We start from the raw sequence: 25,422 nt of genomic DNA, 5'->3' as shown, positions 1-25,422 counted from the left end.
AGAGTATTTATAATTCTGAGAGCAGCTCTTCTAAAGAAAAGCAATTATAAGATCAGATATGAACAGAGCACTTGATCCACCCTTCAGACTCAAAATCAGAGCGGCCCAGCAGCTGGTTTTGAAACCCACAGTTCCATATGCTCTGCTCTCTTCCCCTCAATGACCCTTCCAACACTGCTCCGCTGAGAATTAAAGGCCCTTCCTGTTCCTCAAGGAGATGGGATGGGAGGAAATAATTTCCTGATAGAAAAAAAAAATGAGAGAGGAAAAATGAATTAGTGAAAGCCAAGTTAGAAAGAAGGTAAATAATTTTTTTAAAAAAAGGATTGTTCTGCCTGAACCTGGGAGGCAGAGGTTGCAGTGAGCTGAGATCACACCACTGCACTTCTTCCTGGGCAACAGAGTGAGTGAGACTCTGACTCAAAAAAAAGGATTGCTCTGTGAGAAAGATTTGGATAAATTCTTATTAGACAGAATCAGATAATGAAATTCAAAGGATGTGGAGTAGTTTTGCCACCTGTATGTTACACATAAAGGGAAACTAAGGTAGAATATACTATATGTAAAATGAGGATAAGGCTTGTCATTCTAACTCATAAGCAAATTCAGCAACTTCCTTGAACAAAGTAAGGAGAATTAATTACTGACAGCAAGCTGCACTTTACTGAAAGAAATTTTTAAAAGGTAGACCAAAGAGTACTGAGGAGGAAACATCCAGCCAACAGCTTCCTTAGAGCTATTGCTAACAATATTGCTACTGCTTCTAATGGGAAATTTCAAAGCATGTTGTACCTAATGCTATGTGCCTAAAACCATGCAGAAAATATGGCAGGGGTTGGACGGGGGAGCAGTTTGGTGATTTTTACCTATCTGAAGATCAGGGTGAATGTGGTGTGTGTGTGCTTGTGGAGGAGGAGGAAGAGCAAAACAGGTAAGGAAAAATACCTAATAGAAGATTGGCTTTAGGAGCTAATCTAATACACTTTCACCCCTCTATTATACATTTAATTTTTTAAAAAAACACTTCATCTTTCATTTTAATATGTGATGTTAAGTTTCTTATTCTGTACACTGAATTATTCTTATAAAAGACACCATAGAGGTAGACACATAGGTTTCAAATCAATTAATACTGTTAATATATATTACAGGTTTTCCATTAGCATAATTGCTTATATTTTCTATAAAATGTATGAAACTTGAGGATTTAGATAACTTACTCAATCACAGATGTCATCTAAATCATGAGTGAAATAAACAATTGTACTGTATTCACATATAGACATTATTATACAACTCTATCAAATTAAAAATAAAGTTCAAAAACTAAGAAAAATTATCAAGGCACCATAATTATTATTACCTAGAAAATGATGCTATAAAAATGTTAGCATCTAAGCCCAGGTAAATAATATATATGGAATTAATTTCATTTAAATTGTTATTACAATATGACTTTTTTTAATCTGTTACACCTTGATGCAATATTTTAAATTAAGGGTCAATAACAGATCTTTTTAAAAATATTAACATCTCACTCAAAGTTCAAAAAGAGTTAATCTATTAATTCCACTGCCAAGTAGTAACAATTTTTTGATAAATGAAAATGTTGCTTAGTACCATATGAATCACATGGGTAATTACTATTTTTTTTTTTTTTTTTGAGACGGAGTCTCACTCTGTTGCCCAGGCTGGAGTGGCACGATCTTGGCTCACTGCAACCTCCACCTCCTGGGTTCAAGCAATTCTTCTGCCTCAACCTCCCAAGCAGCTGGGACTACAAGTGCATGCTACCACGCCCCGCTAATTTTTTTTTTGTATTTTTAGTAGAGAGGGGTGTCACCATACTGACCAGGCTGGTCTCGAACTCCTGACCTCGTAATCTGCCCACCTTGGCCTCCCAACGTGCTGGGATTACAGGCATGAGCCACCGCGCTCAGCCGGGTGATTACTATTTTTAAGGATTTAAAAAAAAAAAATTAACATATTAAAGGCATAGTAGGATGCAGGAAAAAGCAAACTAGTATTTGTATCACTTAATAGATGGGTGATTATGGATAAGTTATTAACCTCATCAAACCTCAATTTTCTTACCTGTAAAGATTAAGAAGATCTACTTTTTAAAATACAATAAAGACATTTTAAGACCAAAAAAAAAAGAGAGAGAGATCTAATTTATAGGATTTTTGTGAAGATTATAGAGCACTGCAAATTTGTGAAACTTAAAGAATAGCTAACAGTAGTGCATGCACACAGTACATATACTTCTATCTATGTGCCAGGTACTTCCTAAACACATTATATATTTTAACTTATTTAATCCTCATGACAACCCTATAAAGTAGGTATACAATAACCCCCAATGAAGAAACCAAGGCACACAAAGGTTAGTAACTTGCCCAAGGTCAGGCAGTTCAAGTGCAGAAAATGGGATAAGAACCCAGGCAACAGGGCTTCAGAGTCTGCAGGTAACACTACAACATGCTGCCTCTTGCCAATACAACAAATTAAGTTAATTTCCTAGCAGAAAGTATGTACTCAATGTTAGCATCTTTCTCCTTTCTGTACACCAAGACCTCTTTATGCACGGAAGCAGGAAAAATAAGCATTCACTCTCAGTGGGTATTTATTTATCATACAAAACAACCATCAAAAATAACATTCTAATTATTAACCCAGGCAACTATAAAATCTTTAAGAATAACAAAATGATCCTTAATGTGCACTTATTATTTTTATCTGAATTTATATTGTCTGTTTTTTGTTTAAGAGCAGGAACCATGTATAGTTTAAGGTTTTACATGAGATCACTGTGAAAAATAGCCTCTAGTAAATATTAAGTAGCATATTTCACAAAAATTAGAGTTTTTGGTATATTAGCCAATTTTTAAGTTATATAGATAATAGAGTACAGACATAGCCAAAAATGCAGTTAAGAAAATTAAGACTCATATGTTATAGCCTAGAAAATAACAGATAGTAAGCAACAATAGAAGCAATTTATTATATTCTGCTTCTTTTCTTTTTGTTGTAGTTGTACAGAAATTTGTGTTTCTATGCTAAATCAAATGCACATACTTACTGTAAGCTAACACATAATAATAGCCAGAGTTAATGAATGCTCACTACGTGCCAGGCGTTATACTAGTGGCATTACACATAAGATATATCTACATTTCACAAAAGCTGTGTAAAGTAAGCATTATCATTATTATTATTCCTACACATTTAGCAAATGAGGTACCTGAGCTCTGACAGATCAAATGCCTGGCCTAAGTTTACACAGTTAATAAGTGAAGAGTTGGAATCAAATTCAGATTTGCCAGAATCCATAGCCCATACTTTTTCTACCAAAAGTACCCAACCCTAGACGTGTATCAGAACCACCCGGGCAACTTGTTAACAAAACTAATGGTCAAATCCCAGACCTAAAAATACCAATTCCCAGAGATTTTGATTTATTTAACAAGCTCCTAGGTGATTTTTATGCAGGAAGTTAGCACCAGTCCTAAGAGTAGCATTTAAAAACCACTGTACTACTTCCAGCTGCCTCCTCTGTTTTCCGTTAGGTTTCATGATTAGAAAGTGAGGTTATAGAGTCCCAAACACTGAGAGTTAGATTCAAGTAAGTGACATTAATAGAGTAAGGACCCAATTCAATTTTAGATTGCAAAATTCATTTTGGAAAATGGCATCACCATTTTTTCATTCATTACCCAAACCTGGATTCAACCTATCTCTTCCTTTGCTTTTTTACAACTAGAGGATATTACTACCCAACAGTAACTCCTAACCCACCCCTCCTTTTCAAAGGCAGAACTCACCTCCCACTGGAAAGGTAGAAAGTGTCAGATTCTCCACATTCCCAGTCTTCCTTGCAGCTAAAAGATGTTCATGAGATCCAATCCTGATCAGTGAATCTAGAAAATGTCTAGTGAGAGTTTTCTTCCCTTGTAAATAAAAAACAAGGGAACACATTCTTTTTCTTCCTCTTTACAATTCAGTGGGGCAGCCATCTTGTGACCATAAGAATTAAGCAAACAGAAATGCAGAAATGCCACTCCACCGCACTACTTTCTAGTTGAGCTACTTTCTGTAGTTCTCATTCCAAATATCTTGTCATTTCTTGCTATGACTTTGCTTACATAGTTCCTTCAACCTAGAATTATCTTCTGCTATTTTTCTACCTGCCAAAACCACACCTCACCTTCAAATTATTACCTTTGAACGACTGGAATTAATTTCTCTCTGTTCTCGTATTAATATACTATTTATACCCACAAACTGCTGCACTTGCCACATTCTTCCTTCTATGTAAATAAATATGTATTAATATATCGGTCTTCCTCACAAGGCTGGAGGCTTTGTGAGGGTAGCACCATGGATAAACATAGTGTCTAGCACAGATGGTTCTTGGATTGGTTCAACTGAATTTGTCCATAATCACTTAGATATTCTCAATTGTGTTGTTTAGGGGCCAAAGGAATGACCATTGCTGTTTAAAGGGGAAAAAACCTGCAACAAAAGTGTTTGGGGGTTTAAGGAAAATTATTTTTCAAGTACTTCAAACCTTGTACAACTTAAGATACAAAACATGTTTTAATTGTTAGTTGCTAAATGAGAATCATAAAGATAATGTTAAGCATTACAAAATGCTGAAAATACTTACTTGTATATGCCAATTCATCTGTACATCTGTACTCTCTAAGAATTAAAATGACTTCTTAAATTCTATGTCAGCCAGTAAACTTCCCAGCTTCAATGTCATTAACATTTTAGTCCAACAGAAACACAGTCAGGAAATGCAAATCAAACCACAAGATAACCCTTCATAACCATGAGAATGACTATAATCAAAAAGACAGAAAATAAGTATTGGTGAGGATATAGAGAAAATCAAATCCTCACACACTGCAAGTGGGAATGTGAAATAGAACAGAAATATGGATAGCAGCCTGGCAGTTCCTCAAACAGTTAGACAGAGAGTTACCGTATGATCACCAATTCCATTGCTAGGTATATATCTAAGAGAACTGAAACATACGTACACACGAAAATTTGCACACAAATGTTCATAGCAGCATGAGTCATGATAGCCAAAAAGTAGAAACAACTCCAATGTCCATCGACTGATGAAATCGATAAACAGAATATGATCCATCCATACAATGGAATATTATTCAGCAATAAAAAGAAATGAAGTACCAAATACACTATAACAAGTTTGTCCATCCCGCAACTTCAGAGCTGCACGTGGCCCAAAACAGCTTTCAATGTGGCCCAACACAAACTCGTAAACTTTCTTAAAGCATTATAAGATTTTTTTGTGATTTTTTTTAAGTTCATCAACTATCGCTAGTGTTAGTGTATTTTATATGTGGCCCAAGACAATTCTTCTTCCAATGTGGCCCAGGAAAGCCAAAAGATTGGACACCCCTGCACTACAACATGGATGAACCTTGAAAACATGCTGAGTGAAAGAAACCAGTCAGAAAAAGCACATATTGTATGACTCCTGTTGTGGACTGAATATCTGTGTCCCCTAAAATTCGTATGTTGAAATCCTAACCTCTAATGTGAAAGCACTGGGAGGTGGGGCCTTTGGGAGATAATCAGGCCATGAGGGTGGAGGCCTCATGAATGGGATTAGAGTCATTATAAAAGAGACCCCAAAGAGCTCTCTCACTCTCTTTCCACTTTGTGATAATCCAATAAAATGAGAAGGTAATCTGCAAACTAGGAAGCAGGCCCTCAACCAGACATTGGATCTGCCAGTATCTTGATCCTGGACTTCCCAGCCTCCAGAACTGTGAGAAACAAGTTGTTGTTTAAGCCACACAGTCTACAGTAGTTTGTTACAGTAGCCCAACCTAAGACAATTCCATTTATATGAAATATCCCAAATAGGCAAATCTATAGAGACAGAAAGTAGATTAGTAGTTGCCTAGGGCTTGGGTATATGGGGGAATTAAGGAGTGACAGTTCAGGGGTATGGGGTTTCTTTTGGAAGTAATGAAAATGTTCTCAAATTGGTGGTGGTGGATGTAAAACTCTGTAAATATACTAAAAGCCACTGAATTGTACACTTCAAATGGAAGAACTGCACAATATGTGAACTACATCTCTAAAACTGTTTTTAAAAAACTGCTGGGGGTCAGGTGCAATGGCTCATGCCTATAATCCCAGCACTTTGGGAGGCCAAGGTGGGAGGATCACTTGAGCCCAAGAGTTAAAGACCAGCCTTGGCAATATAATAAGAACCCATCTCTACAAAAAATTAAAAAATCAGCCGGGAGTGGTGGCACATGCCTGTAGTCCCAGCTCCTTGGGTGACTGAGGTAGGAGAATTGCTTGAGCCCGGGAGGCAGAAGTTGGGTGCCTTCAGCCTAGGCAACAAAGCAAGACCCTGTCAGGAAAAAAAAAAAGAAAACTGCTGGAACTTCAGTCAATTATGACAATTAGCAAGCCTTAATCAAATACATAGGTTACTTAATAGTAGGTAAAACGGTAAAGGCTGAAAAGTACTGTGGTTTTGCATCTTGACCAAAGGACGACTGGAAAAACACAACACATTTGTGAATTTTCATAAGCAAGGGCAATTTTGTGTACCAAACTTGAAAATATGCATATTATTTTCAAATGCATTGGGAAAATATATCTAACATCAACTCAGTTGTACAGTCAAGAACCTGCAATAGCGGTCATCCTTGAGCCCTTCCTCTCCACTCCCATATCCAATCTATAACCGAGACCTACCAATTCTACCTCCTTCTCCATTTCCAATGTCAACACTCCAGTCCAAGATATCACCATGCTCTTTCCTGCTGAGGTTACTGTAATAGCCTAACCTGATCTCCAGTATCCACTCTAACATCCCCTCCATTCTCCATACAACAGCAAAGTAATTTTTAAGAAAATCTGACCGGTTTTATACCATGCTTAAAATTGTTCCTATTGCCCTTAGAGATAGGGAGTAATAATGGTTGTAGGAAAGCAGATCTAATTAGTATTACTCACTGGGGGAAGTCTTCTCTCAATCCTCAGATTAGGATCAGTATCCTGTTATCTGCTTTCCTGAGGACAGGACTTCTTTGTGGCACTTATCACAGATGTAAATAAATAATTCAAACTATCTTATTTACCATTTTATCCAAAATTCCCACCACAGTGTCTAATATATAGCAGGTAGTTAATAAACGTGCTTTACAGAAATGCCTTGGGTCCTCTAAATCATAAAACCACATGCTGTGTGATGTAATGGGCTAACCTACCCAACTCTGCAAGAGCTAAAACCAGCAGTCACCAAGAGAAACAAGAGAGGTTTTCTGCCCCATCCCTGCTACATGAGCCTCAGCAATACCCTCTCTGCCACCTTTGATTTACTACTGCCTATGTTATATTTCCTGCAGCGTTTCATAAGACATGCATTTAAACAGCTGGCTTCCATCTTCCCTATCTAATCATGTATAAAAATAAAACATCATTTATATTATCACAATCATTTCCACGGCAAATATGAAAATGTCAGTGCCCTAACTCAAGGACTACAAGGAAAAATAGCAGCCTTGCAGGGAATTTTGTCAGAGGCAGATGTTAGCTACTCAAGTTCCATTTATAGGACATGTTTCCAAGCAAGTCTGTTCTTTCCTGACTTTAATTTCCTCCTTTAAAAATGACATTTGGTAGACTCCCTAAATCTTCAAATTTTCCTTTTTCTTTTGATTAATTGTAACATCTTTAGTAACATAAAACCAAATCCTTTTTTCTCTATTACAAAACAATTTCTACTATCAGGCTACTTTTGTAAAGACATGATGCTCAAAACATGTATCGTTTATAATAAGGAAATGTAAAAGAATTGATATTCACAAGCTCTGTGGTATGACCATTGTAAAGACAAAACTGGGAGCTAATCAAGCTAAGCAACTCTCATTAAATGGAAAAAAAAATAAGTAATACTAAGATTTGCCTCTGAAAGACTTGGTCAGATGCCTATGAACCACAGCGTCTAGGGAAAGTTCTACTCCAGTGTTGCTGCAAACATTCCTCTTGTTCCAAATATTTCCTCCACCCCCATTTCACCCCACAAGAGTGGTCTGATCCTTCTTTTGAAACTTAATCCTTTGGAAAAGAAAAGAGACCAGTAGTCTAACTAAAAAGCCTCTCTGCTGTTAAAAAAAAAAAAAAAAAGTACACAAATTTTCCTGAAAACATCCTTCCCCTGGATAGGTGCCACCCTTAGTCACACACAGCTGGTGTTTGCTCACTAGAATACTCCATTCATAAACAAGCCCCCTTTATCCTATTATCTATTAATTTTATATTTACATATAAATTAATTTTTACATAATTAATCCTATTATCTATGGCATCTACTAATTTTCAAATTGTCCCTACTATGATAAAATTTATATGTGTGACTTTTGAAAACAGCCATTCTAGCCAGTACCCAATTCACCTTGACACTAATTTATTTTTTTAATTTCTTAGAGAACTACTAAAAAACAAGGCTTACCACTATTTCAAGCCAATGAAAGTAAACGAATTGACTAACAAAATAACAAGCAAATAACTGCTTAAAACTAATGTGCTATATCAATTAAAACATTAAAAATCAATGCCAACTTTTAAAATTTTATAAATTTAGCAATTTGTGTACATCTTAGAATATATGTATTCCTTTATCATAACTTTAAATTGTACTAGTTAAAAGGCCACTTTCTCAAGTCTACTCTTACTTCTGAGGTAAACTTACCCAGTTTCATAACTTTAAAAACCACCTATACTATGCTGACATCCAAATTTAAATCTCCAGCCCCAACCTCTCCTCCAAGCCCCAGACTTACTCAACATATCCACCTGGGTGTCTATCACGCGTTTTACATTTAACATGTGTAAAGGAGAACTGATTTTTAACCCCTAACCTCTCCTTCAAGAGTCTTCTCCATCCCAGGAAATTTCAATACTATTCACATAGTTGCTAAAAGCAAAACCAAAGAACCTAAAAAGAAGTGAAATTTGAATATATGCTACAACATGGATGAACCTTGATAACAATTTGCTAAGTGAAATAAGCCAGACATAAAAGGACAAATATTATATGACTCCACTTATACGAGTTGGAACAGTCAAATTCATGAGACAGAAAGTAGATTAGTGGTTACTAGGGGCTAGGAACAGGAGAAAACGGGGAATTATTATTTAATGAATAGAGTTTCAGTTTGGAATGATAAGAAAGTTCTGGGGATGAATAGTGAGGATGGTTACACAACGTTAATGTACTTAAGGCCACTGAATTGCACACTTTAAAATCATTAAAATGGTCAGTTTTATATTATGCATATTTTACCATACCAAAAAAAAAAAAAAAAAAAGAACCATCTCTTTCCTTCACCATCCACATCCAATTCATCAGCAAGTCCTCCTGGCTCTATCTTCAAAATATCTTTGGAACAGATGTACTTATCACTACCTCTACCACCATAGTCCAAGCTATCAACTTTAGCTTACACACTGGCATTAGCTACTAGCTAGTCGTCTTGTTCTATTTTTATTCTCCTATACTCTATTCTCTACATTACAGCCAGATCCTTTTAAGGAGTAAATTAGACTGTCACTGCCCTGGTGAAAAACCCACTACACTGTACACAGAAAAAAATCCAAATTTCCACCACGGCTTATGAGGCTTTGCATGACATGCCTCTATCTACCTTTCCCCTAGACCACTCCAATCACATGGACCTTCTTCCTGTTTATTCTGTTCATGAGGCTTTCCTCCCATTTATAAAAACACTTCATATAATCCAAGTTGATTCTACCTCAGGGCTTTTGCTCTTCCTGTGGCCCAATTACTCAATTCATTCAGATGTCTGCTCAAATGTCATGTCTTCAGAGATCTCCTCCCTGACATCCTTATCTAAAATTGCACCTCCTATCACTTTCATTTTATTTTTTATATTTTAGAGATGGGGGTCTCACTCTGTTGCCCAGGCTGTAGCACAGTGGTGTGATCATAGCTCACTGCAGCCTCGAACTCCTGGGCTCAAGTGATCTGCCTCAGCCTTCTGAGTAGCTGGGACTACAGCTGTACGCCACCATGCCCAGCTACTTGTTGTTGTAGAAACGGGGATCTCACTATGTTGCTCAAGCTGGTCTCAAAGTCCAGGCCTGAAGTAATTCTCCCAGTTCAGCCTCCTAAGTTGCTGGGATTAAAGGCATGAGCCACAGCACCCAGACCTCCCATCACTTTCTACATCCTTACACTTTTTTATTATTTTTTGTAACCATTATAACCACCTAAAAGTATATGTTTATTATGTCTCTTCCAATACACTTAAACTCCTTAAGAACAGAAACTTACACATTTTACCACTACATCTCTAGGACTAAAAAGAGCACACAGCACATGTAAAGTACTCAGTAAAATCTTGAACTAATTAATAAAATTATCCTTATTTGTAGAAGCACTGAGTATTATATCCTTGATTTTCATTTCATATAAATAGCCTTTATTGGACATTAAAGGAAAGCATGTTATTTGAAACAACCAAGAGGCAAGCCTCAATCATCTTAAGTTCCCATTTTGCCTTTTCAATCAGGGTCAGACCTTGAAAATGGAACAAATCCTTCACAGTGCAATCAGTGTGGCTCACAAACCAAAACTCTATCAATATGAATTTCACCTCAATTTTTTAAATTAACTAATTAAGAAACATTCTTCTATCAGCACCAGGTAACACCCTAGATATTAATAGTTTCTGCTCAGATCTTCCTCCTCTGTGCCCCACTTAAGGGAACAGGAGGGACTGCCAAAATATGGACATCTAAAGATTACCGTAAGACTTCTTTTCCCTAGCTTTAGCTACGGACTGGTGATTCTGGAAAATGTGCTATGAGATGTCTGCAAAATAAGAATAATTAATGCTTTAATTGCTCACAGATGCTTTTAATTTTTATGTCTGACACCACCACTGAAACTGCATTTCACTTGGCAATGACATACTAAAATACTACCCATGTCTTCATTTCTATGACAAGTTCCTTTCCATCACTAAGTAGGTAAACGGAAAATTAGCATTTGTTATTCTGTTGCATATATCAGCTTGGGGGCTAACAGACAACATCAGAAACCAGTGGAATTATGCCTATCCAGAATGATAGTTTTCATTAACGTTTCTTGGCCGGGATACCCTTCAGCTGCACACAATGTTTTAAATAGCCTAATAGAAACATGATACAGATATCCTTTTCCTCCTTAAGTAAGCTGTATTTTTAATCATTTTTAAAGAAAAAGCGTATGTGGAGAACAGGATTAGACGCATTGGTCATCCTTTATTTAAGCCACCCCAAATAGCCCAAAGGACAACTAGAGCCTTCATCAGTTTCCATGGTGACTGGCAAAGGGCTCCATCACACTCCAGATAACATTCCAGCACAAATTTGAGAGCAAAGGCTTTTCCAGGGTTTGGAGAAGGCTTATGCTTCCTTATCTACTCAGAAAAAAGTGAAACAGCAACCCTATAGCCATGCAGGGAACCTAGACTTCCTTCAAAGACTACCTGAGTACTTTCCTTCCTTAATTCAAGAATGTTACATTGTTTAAGAGCCACAGGCAGTAATCTAACTCGTCAGTTATTGCTCTGAGAAAATCCTAGCTTGTTATTTGTCCTGACAGTAATAAAATCATCTTTTAAAGCAACAGTAGGATACAGTTCTTCCTCCCAACTCAACTGAAAAATAGGCGGTTGTACTTTATCATTCACTGAATTACAACAAGCTGCCCGCTCTCTTTAAGTGGCCATTTTAAGATTTTTACAGAAGTACAAAGGAGACTTATGTCCTTTTGGAAGACAAGAGAGAGAGACTTTCTGAAGAAGCTTCTTCAGCAATCCATTTTCTGTAAAATTAGTTGATGTGGTTAATTTGGCAAAGCATTTGAGAGATGAAGGAGAAAGCAAGAACATGGTGAGAGTTTCAAGCTTATAATGAGTTTTGTCTTATTACATCAGCAATATATAAAGGTTCTTTAAAAGTGTTTTCCCTTTCATCTGAACGCTCATTGACCCATTTCTGCACAGTGGTGCTGACCCAAGCCCTTTCACATAGTGCAATTGCCAAAAGTGAACCATCACACATTCCTGACCAGAAAGAAACAGGCTGGAATGAAATCTGTCACGTGAAATATTTCACAGCCAAAATTAAAGCTTTAAAATGCCACAACCGAAAACAAAACTGTTCTGATTTCAATTCTCAGAGCCCTTAATCTTACCAAAGCTTGTTTTAAATCTAATACTTGCCCACTTTCCTAAATTTTCTGGCATATTAGAATAAGAGTTCAAACAAGTTTTTGGGGTTTTGCTGTATATGTTTTAACTGAAATAAAAATGTTGAAGCACAAGATATAAACTCCCTTACCTAAAACCTTCTCTAAGCATAGTTCTCCCAAGTCAAAATGATTCCTTGGTAATATTATGGACATTTTAGAAAACCCAGTAATGCATTCAAAACTTTGGAGAATTCTGCCAAAGTGTAATCTGTTTTCAATCACTTACCATTTACTGAGTTCATAACAACGGGCCAGGCAATAGTGGCAGATGATTTAAGACGCAGTCCCCGACCTTGTGAAAGTCATGGTCACTCTAATGGCATGAGATAAACATATGAACCAATAGAGGAGGAAATGACATTACTTGAAACCACTAAGGTGGCTCCACAGAGGAAGTGACATCCAATCCAAGACCTGAAGGATGACAGGAGCTGGGCAAAGAAGGCAAGGAAGACAGCCAGTGTAAAGGAGCAGTGCCAACAACATCAAGTACAGAGTGCAAAATTAGGCAGAATCCAACCCTTAAGAACTAAGCCAAGCAGCCAGGTGCGGTGGCCCATGCCTGTAATCCCAGCACTTTGGGAGGCCAAGGTGGGTGGATCATGAGGTCAGGAGTTCGAGACCAGCCTGGCCAACATGGCAAAATTCATCTCTACTAAAAAATACGAAAATTAGCTGGGCGTGGTGGCTGGCACCTGTAATCCCAGCTATTTGGAAAGCTGAGGCAGGGGAATCGCTTGAAACTGGCAGGTGGAGGTTGCAGTGAGCCAAGATCAGGCCACTGCACTCTAGCCTGGGCCACAGAGTAAGACTCCATCTCAAAACAAACAAACAAACAAACCAAGCCAAGCAATCTCAGCAGAGGCCTGTAGGCCATAAGAACTACCCTACAATCAATATGAAGAACCATTATTTAATTCAAGGTGGATGAGATTAAACAGACCAATTAAGAGGTTATGGAAAACTCTCAAGTGAAAGATGATAAAATTCTTAGCTAGGTTCACGACAGTGGAGAGAAAGAGATACTTCTCAAATAAAAACCCACTTAGTGACTGATATATAGAAGTAGAGTGGGTGAGATGAAAGAGATGAAAGACAAGGATGATGTTAAGGTTTCAAGGCTTTTGATACCCCTCCCATCAAAAGGGAGGTCTGTCTCCTCCCCTTGAATGTGGGAAGGCACATAACTACTTCAACCACTAATCCAGCCTGACTACCAAGGCAAGGTCACAAAAAGCCATACAGCTTCCTCCTTATTCACTGGGACACTAACTTTTAGAGCTCTCAGCCACCAAGTAAGTCCAATTACACTGAGGCTGCCATGCTGAGGAAGGCCATGCAACATGGAACAGCCATGCAAAAGCACTGCAATCAACAATCCTACCTGAACTAAGCCTTCATGTCATTTCAGGGCAGCTACCAAACTTGTGAGTGAAAAGCCTCCAGATAAGTTACCAATGAAAAGTCCATTTTTCACATGGAATAGGAAGCAAGACCATGTGCTAGGAATAAGGAAATTGGAATTGGATAGAGGACCTGATAAAAGTGGGAACGATTTAGAAGAGCATCTGTGGTAAATGACAAGAAGACTGCAGATAGTTAAGGAATCATCAAGCCATATAGAGAGCCTGGAGCAAACTGGAAACAACAATCTCCCAAACAGTCTCTAGGCTATACATTAACTAAGATAAAGGTAGGCCTAGTGGTGCATACCTGTAATCCCAGCACTTTGTGAGGCTAAAGGAGGAAGACGACTTAAGCCCAAGAGTTTCAGACCAGCCTGGGCAACATAGTGAGATCCTGTCTCTGCCAAAAATAAAAAATTAGTCAAGCATGGTGGCACATACCTATAGTCCCAGCTACTCAGGAGGCTGAACCAGGAGGATTGCTTGAGCCCACGGGTTCAAGGCTGCAGTAAGCTATAATCATGCTACTGCACTCCAGCCTGGCCAACAGAGCAAGATACTGTCTCTAAAAATAAATGAAGAAAAGGACAAGGACAGGGCTCTTTCCATTTTGTATCCCCCATGCCAATCAGAGCACCTAAGAGATGACAGGCCCTTAGCAAACATTTGGTAAATGAATATATGAAAGTGTGTGTGTAGATGTCACAATTATCAAATATTCACGACAAAATTAAACAATTATAATGAGTATTTCCATTTCTTATCCTGAAAATATTCTTAGTTTTAGTAAACAGTTTTGCTTTATAATTACAAATATAGTTTCTGAGCCCCTCTCTCAGTGAACATGAAATGTGTGAATTCAAATGCACTTATAAATATAAAACACATTTCTTACCAAGAATTGCCTTTGAATTGACAAGCAAAAAGCAAAAAATAATGATTTTGCAGTTGTTCCTTCTGAATCTGACCTTTTGCCCTGGTTTCTGCTCTAGCTTTAAAATAACTATACTTTAAACAAAAATAGCATACCTTTCCTCCAAAATGGCTAACCACAATACTGAAACACAATTTTTTTCATAAGAAATGTTATGTATTGTATTTACTTCCAAGCTATAATAAAAGTATTAAGAATTGGTTAATTTAATATAGCATAATCCCTTTACAACACATGTATTAAAGAAAAGATGAGCCTCCAACCTTATAAACTTGAACTAAATAGTATACATCAGGATTTGCCATATGTAACTGTGAGAAACATATTTTCATCCATATTTACTCCAAATTCACATAACTAATATTCCAGATTATAATAACACGGAGCTAATAAGAACAACTCTTATTAGCATTTACTGTATGCCAGACACCGTGCTAAGTGCTTTACATGAGTTATTTCCTTTAATACTCACAACAACGTTATTAGGTAGGTACAGGCAAAAGTCGCAGAGTTTGCAGGAGGCAGAGCCAGAATCAAGCCCAGATGTATCTCACACAAAAATGCTGGACTATTAGATACTATATACATATTTATTAATGAAGAAAATCATAGTGTTGTAAGTGGTGATACAAAATATATTCTGACTTAAGACTGTTGAACCTTTCAAAAATCAAAACCTAAATCTTGAATTACAATTTCTTAGTTTGTTCTGACATGATCACAGAACTTCAAAGGGCTAAAGATAATCTTAATTATGTTTAAAGAACCACTCATAATAATTTGCGGGGAAAAAAAGCAGTACATCTAGGAAGAATAAGTGTTAAGACATTATGTAATCATGAGAAAAAAATAAATGCTTTGAGATAAACATCAATAAAAAAGAAATAACAGAAGAAACATAAACTCTTTGAAGATAAAACTGCTTTCTTTCCCATCTTTAAGTCCAATTAAAATTCTGGTTAATGATTCCTTGTAGCAATGGAAAAATCAGTAAAAATGTAAAATAAGTTGCTAAAAGAATCAAGTAGGCCAGCCAGGAGCAGTGGCTCACTCTTGTAATCCCAGCACTTTGAGAGGCCGAGGCAGGCGGATCACCTGAGGTCAGGAGTTCAAGACCAGCCTGGCCAAGATGGTGAAATCCCATCTCAATAAAAATACAAAAATTAGCTGGGCATGTGCCTGTAATCCCAGCTACTCGGAAGGCTGAGGCAGAAGATCACTTGAACCCGGGAGGCAAAGGTTGCAGTGAGCCAAGACCAGGCCACTGCACTCCAGCCTGGGCAACAGAGCAAGACTCCATCTCTCCAAAAAAAAAAAAAAAAAAAAAAAGAAGGAAAGAATCGAGTAGGCCAGGCGCAGTGGCTTACACCTGTAATCCCAGCACTTTGGGAGGCCGAGGCGGGCAGATCTCTTGAGGTCAGGAGTTCAAGACCAGCCTGGCAAACATGGCAAAAGCTTGTCTCTAAAAAACTACAAAAAATTAACTGAACATGGTGGCACACACCTGTACTCCCAGCTACTCAGGAGGCTGAGGTACGAGAATCCCCTGAACCCGGGAGACAGAGGTTACAGTGAGCCGAGATCGTACCACTTGCACTCCAGCCTGGGTGACAGAGTAAGACTCTGTCTCAAAAAAAAAAAAATTTTTTTTGAGTACATAAGATGTGCACTGATTTATTTTGCAATATTACTTAAAAGCTTTTATTTAGCTAGCAATACTAAAAATTTATTTCAAACTTATGATAGGTCAGCCACTGTGCTAAGCGCTTCAAACACATTATCTCAGATTTTAATTACTTCATTTGCTCAGTGAAAAATAAAGCATAATATGTATTGAACAAAACTATAGGCACCTTATCCAACACTTGGAATTTGCTGTGTATATTTTATTTATTTATTCACTCACTCATTCATTCATTTGTGGCCACTCTTCACTTAACATGCTCCACAGTCACTACCAACATTTATCAAGAACCTACTATGTTCCATTACTGGACAAGGCACCAAGGATTAAAAAAAGGAATAAAACCAAAATTATTGTCCCCTAAATATTCACAGACTAGCAGAGGAGATAGTAAACAAACTTTATAAAATAATATAGAAAGTGTTCATCCTTTCCTCAAGGCACCATAGCAGAGAAAATAGAGAACAAGAATAACCTAATGCTGGAATAATAGTAAAAGAAGTCATCACAGAAGATCCACAATATGGATCCAAATAAAGCAGTGGCATTAAGGAATGAAATAACAGGACACAGTCTATAAAACTTTAAGTGGCAGAAGCAGCAGGAACAGGTAATTGATTTGGGAATGGAAGTAACTGTATGATTCTTTCAGCTATATTCCACCAAAAAAACATAGATAGGTAGACAGACTTCCATGAGACAAAGACAGTCACAGGGATGAAGAGTTTGGTTTTACACATGCTGAGTCTGAAATGCTTATAAAGCATTCAAATACACATCTACCATAGAAAACCAGACAGACCAGACTAGTACCCAGGAGAGATATGCAAGCTGGTGATGCATCTGGAGTAAAGGCACGTGACTAGTAACCAGAGCAGTGGGAAAAGCTGAGATCACTAGGTAGAGTATAAAATGAGAAGAGGGCCAAGTAGAATCATGGAATACAGACATATGCCCCATAACAACATTTCAGTCAACAATGGACTGCATATACAACGGTGGTGACATAAGATTATAATGGAGCTAAAAGATTCCCATTGCCTAGTGACAGCACAGCCATCATAACATCACAGCACAACACATGATTCACGTGTTTATGGTGATGTTGGTGTAAACAAACCTACTGTGCTACTTGTACAAAAGTGTACATTAATGCCCTAGGCCTTCACATTCACTCACCACTCACTGACTCACCCAGAACAACTATCAGTCCTGCAAGCTCTAATCATGGTAAGTGCCCTATGCAGGGGTACCATTTTGTATCTTTTATACTATATTTTTACTGTATCTTTTCTTTGTTTAGATACATAAATACTTACCATTGTGTTACAAACGTCTACAGTATTCAGTACAGTAACATGCTATACAGGTTTGTAGCCTAGGACAAATAGGTTATACCATATAGCTTAGGTGTACAGTAGGCTATACTATCTAGCTTTGTTTAAGTACACTCTACGCAGTTCATACAAAAATGAAGTCGCCTAATGATGCATTTCTGAGAAGGTACCCCCATCATAAAGTAAAGCATGACCATACGTCATCTTTTAAGAAGCAGGAAAAGAACAGTGTGTAGGCCACTAAGTCGCAACAAACACCTCCATCCCATACCACTTCTCACAAAAAATAAAGTAAAACGAAACTTTACACTTAATACTTTCAAATCTGCCTGTACAATCATACGTATAGCAAACATTTACCATGTATTTTCTAAGTCATAAGGCATTGCGCTAGCTGCTGAGGGTAGCCAAGAATAAAGACAACCTAGTTCTTAATCATAAGAATCTAGCTAGGCCAGGCACAGTGGCTCACGCCGGTAATCCCAGAACTTTGGGAGGCCGAAGCAGGCGGATCATGAGGTCAGGAGATCAAGACCATCCTGGCTAACACAGTGAAACCCTGTCTCTACTAAAAATACAAAAAATTAGATGGGTGTGGTGGCGGGTACCTGTAGTCCCAGCTACTCGGGAGGCTGAGGCAGGGGAATGGTGTGAACCCGGGAGGCGGAGATTGCAGTGAGCCAAGATTGCACCACTGTACTCCAGCCTGGGTGACACAGCAAGACTCCATCACAAAAAAAATTAAAAAAAAAAAGAATCTAGCTAAAATAGGAGCAATACACCAAGTACGTTAAGAGCACAGGATCTAGGTTGGCATTCGAACCTTAGCTCTGCCATTTACTTTCTGGGTGACTTGAGGCAAATTACTTAACCTATAGGTGTTTCTGCTTCCTCAACTACAGTGGGGATCACAATAGTACTTATTCCCATAACGTTGCTGTGAAGAGTAAATGAACTAAGAACCATGTCATGAAGATTAAAATAGTCCATGGAAAGCACATATAACAGTGCTTGACACATAATGAATGCTCCATGAAAGTTAGTTATTTCCTATTATAAAACTTATCAGAATGGCTGCATGAGTGCAATAATAATACAAATCAACAGTGTTACTGGATTTCAAAAGATGAAGAAAGGGCCAGGCCAGGCACAGTGGCTCACGCCTGTAATCCCAGCACTTTGGGAGGCCGAGGTGGGCAGATCACCTGAGGTCAGGAGTTCGAGACCAGCCTGGCCAACATGATGAAACCCCGTCTCTACAAAAAATTCAAAAATTAGCCAGGCATGGTGGTGCTTGCCTGTAATCCCAGCTACTTGGGAGGCTGAGGCAGGAGAATCACTTGAACCCAGGAGGCAGAGGTTGCAGTGAGCCGAGATCATGCCACTGCACTCCAGCCTGGGCAACAGAGTGAGAAAAAAAAAAAAAGAAGAAGACACTCACTTGGCAGGAATTCAGGGAACACTTCAATGAGCTGCTGAGCTGCCCTTCTGAGCAAGGCTAGCTCACACAGTGCCTTTGTGTGAATTACAAAGCAGCCCATGGGTGCACATCTTTTTTTTTTTTTTGACAGATCATAAACAACAGAACAAGAGGTGCACATCAAGAGGAGGGTAGCCTGAATTTCTATCATCACTCAATCCCCTCAACAAGCATCCTTGTGCAGGATATAACCAGCACAGCCATATAAGGAAGCCTGAAAGATAGGACACATAAAGCTGGTGAAAGGTAACACAAACATTCCAGTAGACAAGTAGAAGAATAACTGTAAGCTATCAAGAATAGTATATCCAGCCTAGACTGGCTTTGGCAAGTAACCCAGATTAGCTAGAGCATAGAAGCCATTTAGAAGAATAGCTAAAGATAAACCCAGAAAGGTAGATTGAAGCCAGATGGCAGAGGATATTGAATATCAGCAAAAGCATCCAGCTATGACTCTGAGCAAGGGAGTATGTGATTTCAATAGTGAGAGAAGTCTGGCATCATGTACTGGAAGGATTTAACTAAGTACGGGCAGGTAAAAGGTCATTGCAGTGGGATGCTAGTCTATGAGTTCCTCAAAGGCAGGGATTCTGTGTCTCATTCATTTTTGTATCTTCAGAACTAACACAGCACTTGGGACAGAGTAGGCACTCTATAATTGTTTGAGGTATAAATGAATGAATGACCCAAAAGTAGCACGTGCCTTAATTAAAATAGGAACAGTGGAAATAGAACAATGGGAACATACTGGAAAAATATTGTAGAGATAGGAAAAGGGATATTTGCTTGCTGATGAAATGTGGCAAGGATATTAGGGGAGAATCAATAAAGACTGTAAAACTGATAAATACTATGTGGATTGCATTACAGGTTTCTGTGAGAATCAAATATAATTATGTTCATGAAAATGCTCTACTTAAAACAATACTGCTTTACTCTGGAATAAAAGCTACTCATCTTGGGCAGATTTACTACTATATTTGACACTGAATATATCTCATCATTTTAAAACATTTGTCTTCCTTTTGTCCTTATCAGATTATAAAACCTTTAAGAGTACACTGGTGTCTACTCTGTTATGAAGCAATATTAATAAAACCTTATTAAATGTTGCTTTAATTAAACTTTCTCACAAAAGAAACTATTAAACCAATTTCAACTATATACCAAAAAAATATAGACACATAAACACAGACATACACTTATATAAATATACAACATATTTATATAGACTAAACATTTGTGAATGTAATCTTAGCAGGCTATAAGCTTCCACAGTATATGTTTATTCTTCTTTACTTTCTGCCGGTGTCTGGCAATGAGTGTTAGAGGTGCTCAATAAATGTTTGCTGAACTAAAATGAACTGAAATGAACTGACTTAGGAATCTCACAGAGCTTATCAATGGTTTCTGATGGTCTTTAAGTTTCCCTCTCCCAGTCTCAGTGCTCTTCCAAACTGTGCATCAAATTTTTGCCGTAAAAGAATGAGATCCATAATAAGGATGTTTTTAAGAAAGAGAAAAAAGAAAAATCAAAAAATAAGATTGTCAATATATAAGATCAGTGGGTACCATTAAGGTCTAACAACTGGCTTGGGGTAGTGGGCTTGATTTTCAGTGTTTGCCAATTTCCATGGTTTAAATATTCCCATCATGGGCCTATTTCAAGCTAACAACATGATACGAGTTGGTCTGCAAAATTCACCGAAAATTTAACAATCAGCTGTCACAAGCCAGTATGCACTGGCTCAGGCACACCATGGGTTGCAATATTTATATGCATAGTACACATGATCCCCAAATTTTGCTCTGCAATACTACCCATCCACATCCTCAAAGGAAAGTATAAAAGGCAAGGAAAAAGCAGGAAAAATCTACACCCTATTCCTATAATGCTTTTAAAACCTCAATGCAGGCCAGGCATGGTGGCTCACACCTGTAACTCCAGCACTTTGGGAGGCAGAAGTGGGTGGATCACTTGAGGTCAGGAGTTTCAGACCAGCCTGACCAATATGGTGAAACCCCATCTCTATTAAAAATACAAAAATTAGCTGGGTGTTGTGGCGGGCACCTGTAATCCCAGCTGCTCAGGAGGATGAGGCATGAGAATCACTTGAACCCGGGAGGCGGAGGTTGCAGTGAGCTGAGATCACACCACTGCACTCCAGCCTGGGCAACAGATCGAGATCTTAAAAAACAAAAACAAAAACAAAAACAAAAAAAACTCAATCTACAAGGTAGAGGTAGTCTTCTTTTGAACTAGGCATATGGTCCAGCCCAGAAATTCCTTTAGCCTAGACCAGTGACATTCAAACTTTTCTGATCATGTACCCCAATCAGTTTTTTAAAAGGTATTTGGGCATACATCCTCAATATGTTAATATATTTGTTTATACATTATATTAGAGCTACTATACTAATACCATATATAAGGTATATACAAACAAATATTAAAATAAAAATTAATTCAAATAGAAAAGAAAAATGTTCTGCCCACATCCCAATGGACTGTCTTGCAAATCTCCCCAGGGCTTACGCAATCCACTTCAGATATTACTAAGTACAACATGAAAAGTAAAATGAATTGCTTCCTGGACCTGTTTCCCCTAGGCCTACAACCTTATCTTATTAGATCTTGCCACTCCATGAAATATCTTGCTTTTATTATTATTTTCACATCACTCTAGTATATCAACTTTGGAAACAAAAGACATCATTCTATTTATAGCATTCTATTTTTAGTAGCAGCATTTCAATTTACAAAATATAGTAATTCTCAATCACTGAAAATGTCAAATCCTAGAAAACGTAGCATTCCTGAGTGTGATGGTAATATCATCCTCAAACAGTTGTTGGCCGAAGATTCATTTGATGAATCCAATTTTTCTGAAATAGACAATTCTGATGATTCAGAGAATTCTAATGTTAGTTCTGTTTAGAAATAACTCCAAGAAGAGTTTTTATATTTTATTTTCACATTGAAAATCAGTCAGATTTGGTTCAGCCTCGAAGGGCGTGTTTATGTAAAGTTAAATAAGTGCTGGCAGCGAGCTGCACTTTTTTTTTCTAAACAGGAAATGAGTTAACTGTTTTTTTCATCCTTGGATCCCTTATTACATAGTTACTTCACATTATCTATAAGACTCAAAGCTTTGGCTGCAATGATAACCAAATTAAAAGAGGTCCACACCTACAAATTTATCTACCTTCCCATCCATTGAATTTTCCGTTTCCTTCCTTAAGGAAGACAGGGTCCTTTTTCTAGGGTAACTAAGTGCTGTCATTAAAATCACTAGGAAAAAAACCATATTACTGGCTCTTATCTCAATACGGTTGCCTAAACATATATGTTTATCTCCCTTCTCTTCCAAATTCCATTGAAATGACAAGGAAACAAAATAGTCTAAAACTAAATAAAACCATAACCACACTAGAAAACAAAAGAGGGTGACATTAGCAGGTTAGAAGTGGAAAATTCTAGATCCATGGTTCTTAACTTTGGCATGCATCAAAATCGCCTAGAGGGTTGGTTAAAACACAGATTGCAGATCTCTATCCCCAGGGTTTCTGATTCAGTAAGCCTAGGGTGGGGCTCAAGATTTTACATGTCTAACAAGTTCCCAGGTAAAGCTGATTCTGCTGGTCAACAGCCACATTACAAGAACCATCCTAAGTAAGCAGAGGTCACTAAGAAAAACACTTTTTATTAATTTCAATTAGCATCCTCGGAGAGATTCAAGAGAATGGTACAACCTTTTTTTTGGAACAGCAAGTGGAAAATAAGAAATAGTTCTGGAAAAATTGGAAAAAAAAATAATTTCCAAATGAAAAACAAAATCAGAAGAACCTAATAACAACTAAAGTCCAATACAGCAATGTGAAAAATAGTCAAAGACATCTTTCAAAACACAGAGCAAAAGACAAAGAGATCAAAATATGACAGAAAAATTAACAAGCATAAAGGTCAGTATCTACCTAACAGGTTTCTGGAGACAGAACAAACACATCACAAAACATAATCAATGAGCAGAAGAAATTTTTCCTATGCTGAAAAATACTCAAAGCTTGATACTGCAGGGCCAAATCCCACGCAGGTTAAGCCAATAACTAGACGCATGTTTGTGGCACTTTTAAATGTAAAAGACATAAAGAAAACCTAAACTCTTTGAGAGGGAAAACACTGGTTATTACAAAAGAACATGAATCAGACTATCATCAGACATTTCATTAGCATGCTAGAAAAAAACGGTATGTTGTTTTCAAAGTTCAGAGAGGAAATTATTTTGAACCTGGAATTTTATAGTTAACTAGAATCTAGTTAAGCTATCAAATAACGAATATAAATTAAAGACACTTTTGGAAATTAAAGAAATAAGCAAATTTACTTCCTATATGTATTAGTTTCCTACTTCTATAAAATATTATCACAGAAGTCCAAAGAGATCTCAATGAGCTAAAATTAAGGTGTTGGCAGAATTACGTACCTTCTGGAAGCTTTAGGGAAAAATCAATTTCTTTGCCTTTTCAAGCTTCTGGAAGCTGACTACATTCCTTGACTAGTGGTCCCCTTCTGTCTTCAAGGCCAGCAATGGTGGATTGAATCCTTCTCTTATCAAGTCACTCTGACTCGGACCTACCTCCATCTTTCATTTATAAGGATCTTCAATTGGACCTAGCCAGATAATCCAGGATAATCTTCCCATCTCAAGATCTTTAATTTTGCTGGTGTTAGTCACACCAGCAAAGTTCCTTTTGGCAGGAAAAGTAACATATTTACAGGTTCCAGGAATTAGGATGTGGACACTTTTGGCAGGCCACTGTTCTGCCTACCAAACCATATAAGGACTCAAGGGTGTCCTTCAGAAAAACAAAAAAAAGAATTCAAGAAAGAGGATAAGATGGGATACATGAAAGTAGGTCCCCCATAAAAGGAAGCAAGTTGAAAAAAAATTTTTTAAGAAAAAATTTTGTCTTGATATTTGAATCTTCTCTTTCTAGAAGCGCAACTTTAGAGAAACTTAATTACATTTTCTTCCCTAAAAGTCCTTTTATGCTACCTGTTTCTATGGTGAATAAAATTTACATAACCAAAATATTATAAATCTTGTTTATTAGTTTCCAATTTTCAGAAATATACAGCCAAGCATCAGAAGACATGAATATCTATGTCTAGTTCCAGGATCTGGCAGATTCTGGACTCCATATACTGATAACATACTTACAGAGATACCACATATTATTTTTTCATATGTGCTATTTATTAGGAACTGAAGTTACATAGTACGGGTAGAAAATAAGTTAGAAGTATAGCCACAGTTAAACATATTAAATGATTCTTGCCTGTATTCTATAAAATAGGTATGAAGCAGAAATTAAAATCAATTCTGAAATACGTGTGTGCCTTTTCATTTAGTAGCTGATAATTTATGGAGTTGCAAATAAGTTGAATGTTATTTTTTTTAATATCTAAAAAGATAACATCCAACAATAATGAGACTATGAAAAATTGATACTCCCATAGACTATAGCTGAATTTTTTTTTCTTCTCCCAAGGAAAAGAATGGAACTGAAATTTTTTACAAGCAAACTTTTAGGAGTACAATTTAAAGTAGGAATATCTTTTGACCTAGTAGTTTTACTCCTAGGAATCTATCCTACAAAAATGTCATCACTTAGTATATAAGAATACTATTTAAGAACTCCACCATAGCATCGTTTAGAGTAGGGAAAAAATGGGACCCAACCTAAATATTTCATCAAATGGGAACTGGTTAAATATATTATCATTGACCATTAATGCACCAGCCATTAAGAATGAGGCACATCATGGAAAGATGTATGCACACACACATACATGTACATTGTTTTAGATTTTTATATGGAGAAAGGAAGAGCTGAAAGGATATACATAGAACTATAGCCTAAGTTAATTCTCTGGAACAGAAAGGAATGCATAAACTTTCAGTTTTGCATTACACACGTATTCCATTTGAATTTTGTTTTAATGGATATACACTACTTTCAGAATATCTTTCCCCTTAAAAAAACTTAATCCCTAACACTTAAAAACTGAACCCAGAATAATGCTTCTGTAAATCATAAAGGCAAAATTGGTTTAGGATATAAAGAACATCAAAGCCTCTTGTGGGATATATAGCAAACAATATATGGTCAACACTTAAATACATTATTATTATTAAATGTAACCAGTAGTGATGGCAGCATTGAGTTCCTTAAAGATATGCAACTCACTACA

General features: G+C 37.2%; 1 protein-coding gene across 12 annotated transcripts in view; it reads right to left on the bottom strand.

Annotated features, from left to right (window-relative positions):
* Positions 1-25,422, bottom strand: part of NUBPL (NUBP iron-sulfur cluster assembly factor, mitochondrial) — a 299,821-nt gene that overhangs the window by 270,648 nt on the left and 3,751 nt on the right. For 2 of the 12 annotated variants that reach the window (NM_001201573.2, XM_011537181.3), the window contains exon 1: positions 12,552-12,661. The exons of the other annotated variants lie outside the window; for them this stretch is intronic. In NM_001201573.2, the coding sequence (NP_001188502.1) occupies positions 12,552-12,554 (3 nt within the window). In that variant the 5' untranslated portion in view covers positions 12,555-12,661. Of the gene's footprint in view, positions 1-12,551; positions 12,662-25,422 lie in introns of those variants that run through there. 12 annotated transcript variants of the gene reach the window in all.

Source organism: Homo sapiens, chromosome 14 (genome assembly GCF_000001405.40).
Source record: "Homo sapiens chromosome 14, GRCh38.p14 Primary Assembly".
In the NCBI taxonomy this organism is placed as follows: domain Eukaryota; kingdom Metazoa; phylum Chordata; class Mammalia; order Primates; family Hominidae; genus Homo; species Homo sapiens.
Note: the sequence above shows the minus strand (reverse complement) of the source record. Positions and strands in the feature narration are given on the sequence as shown.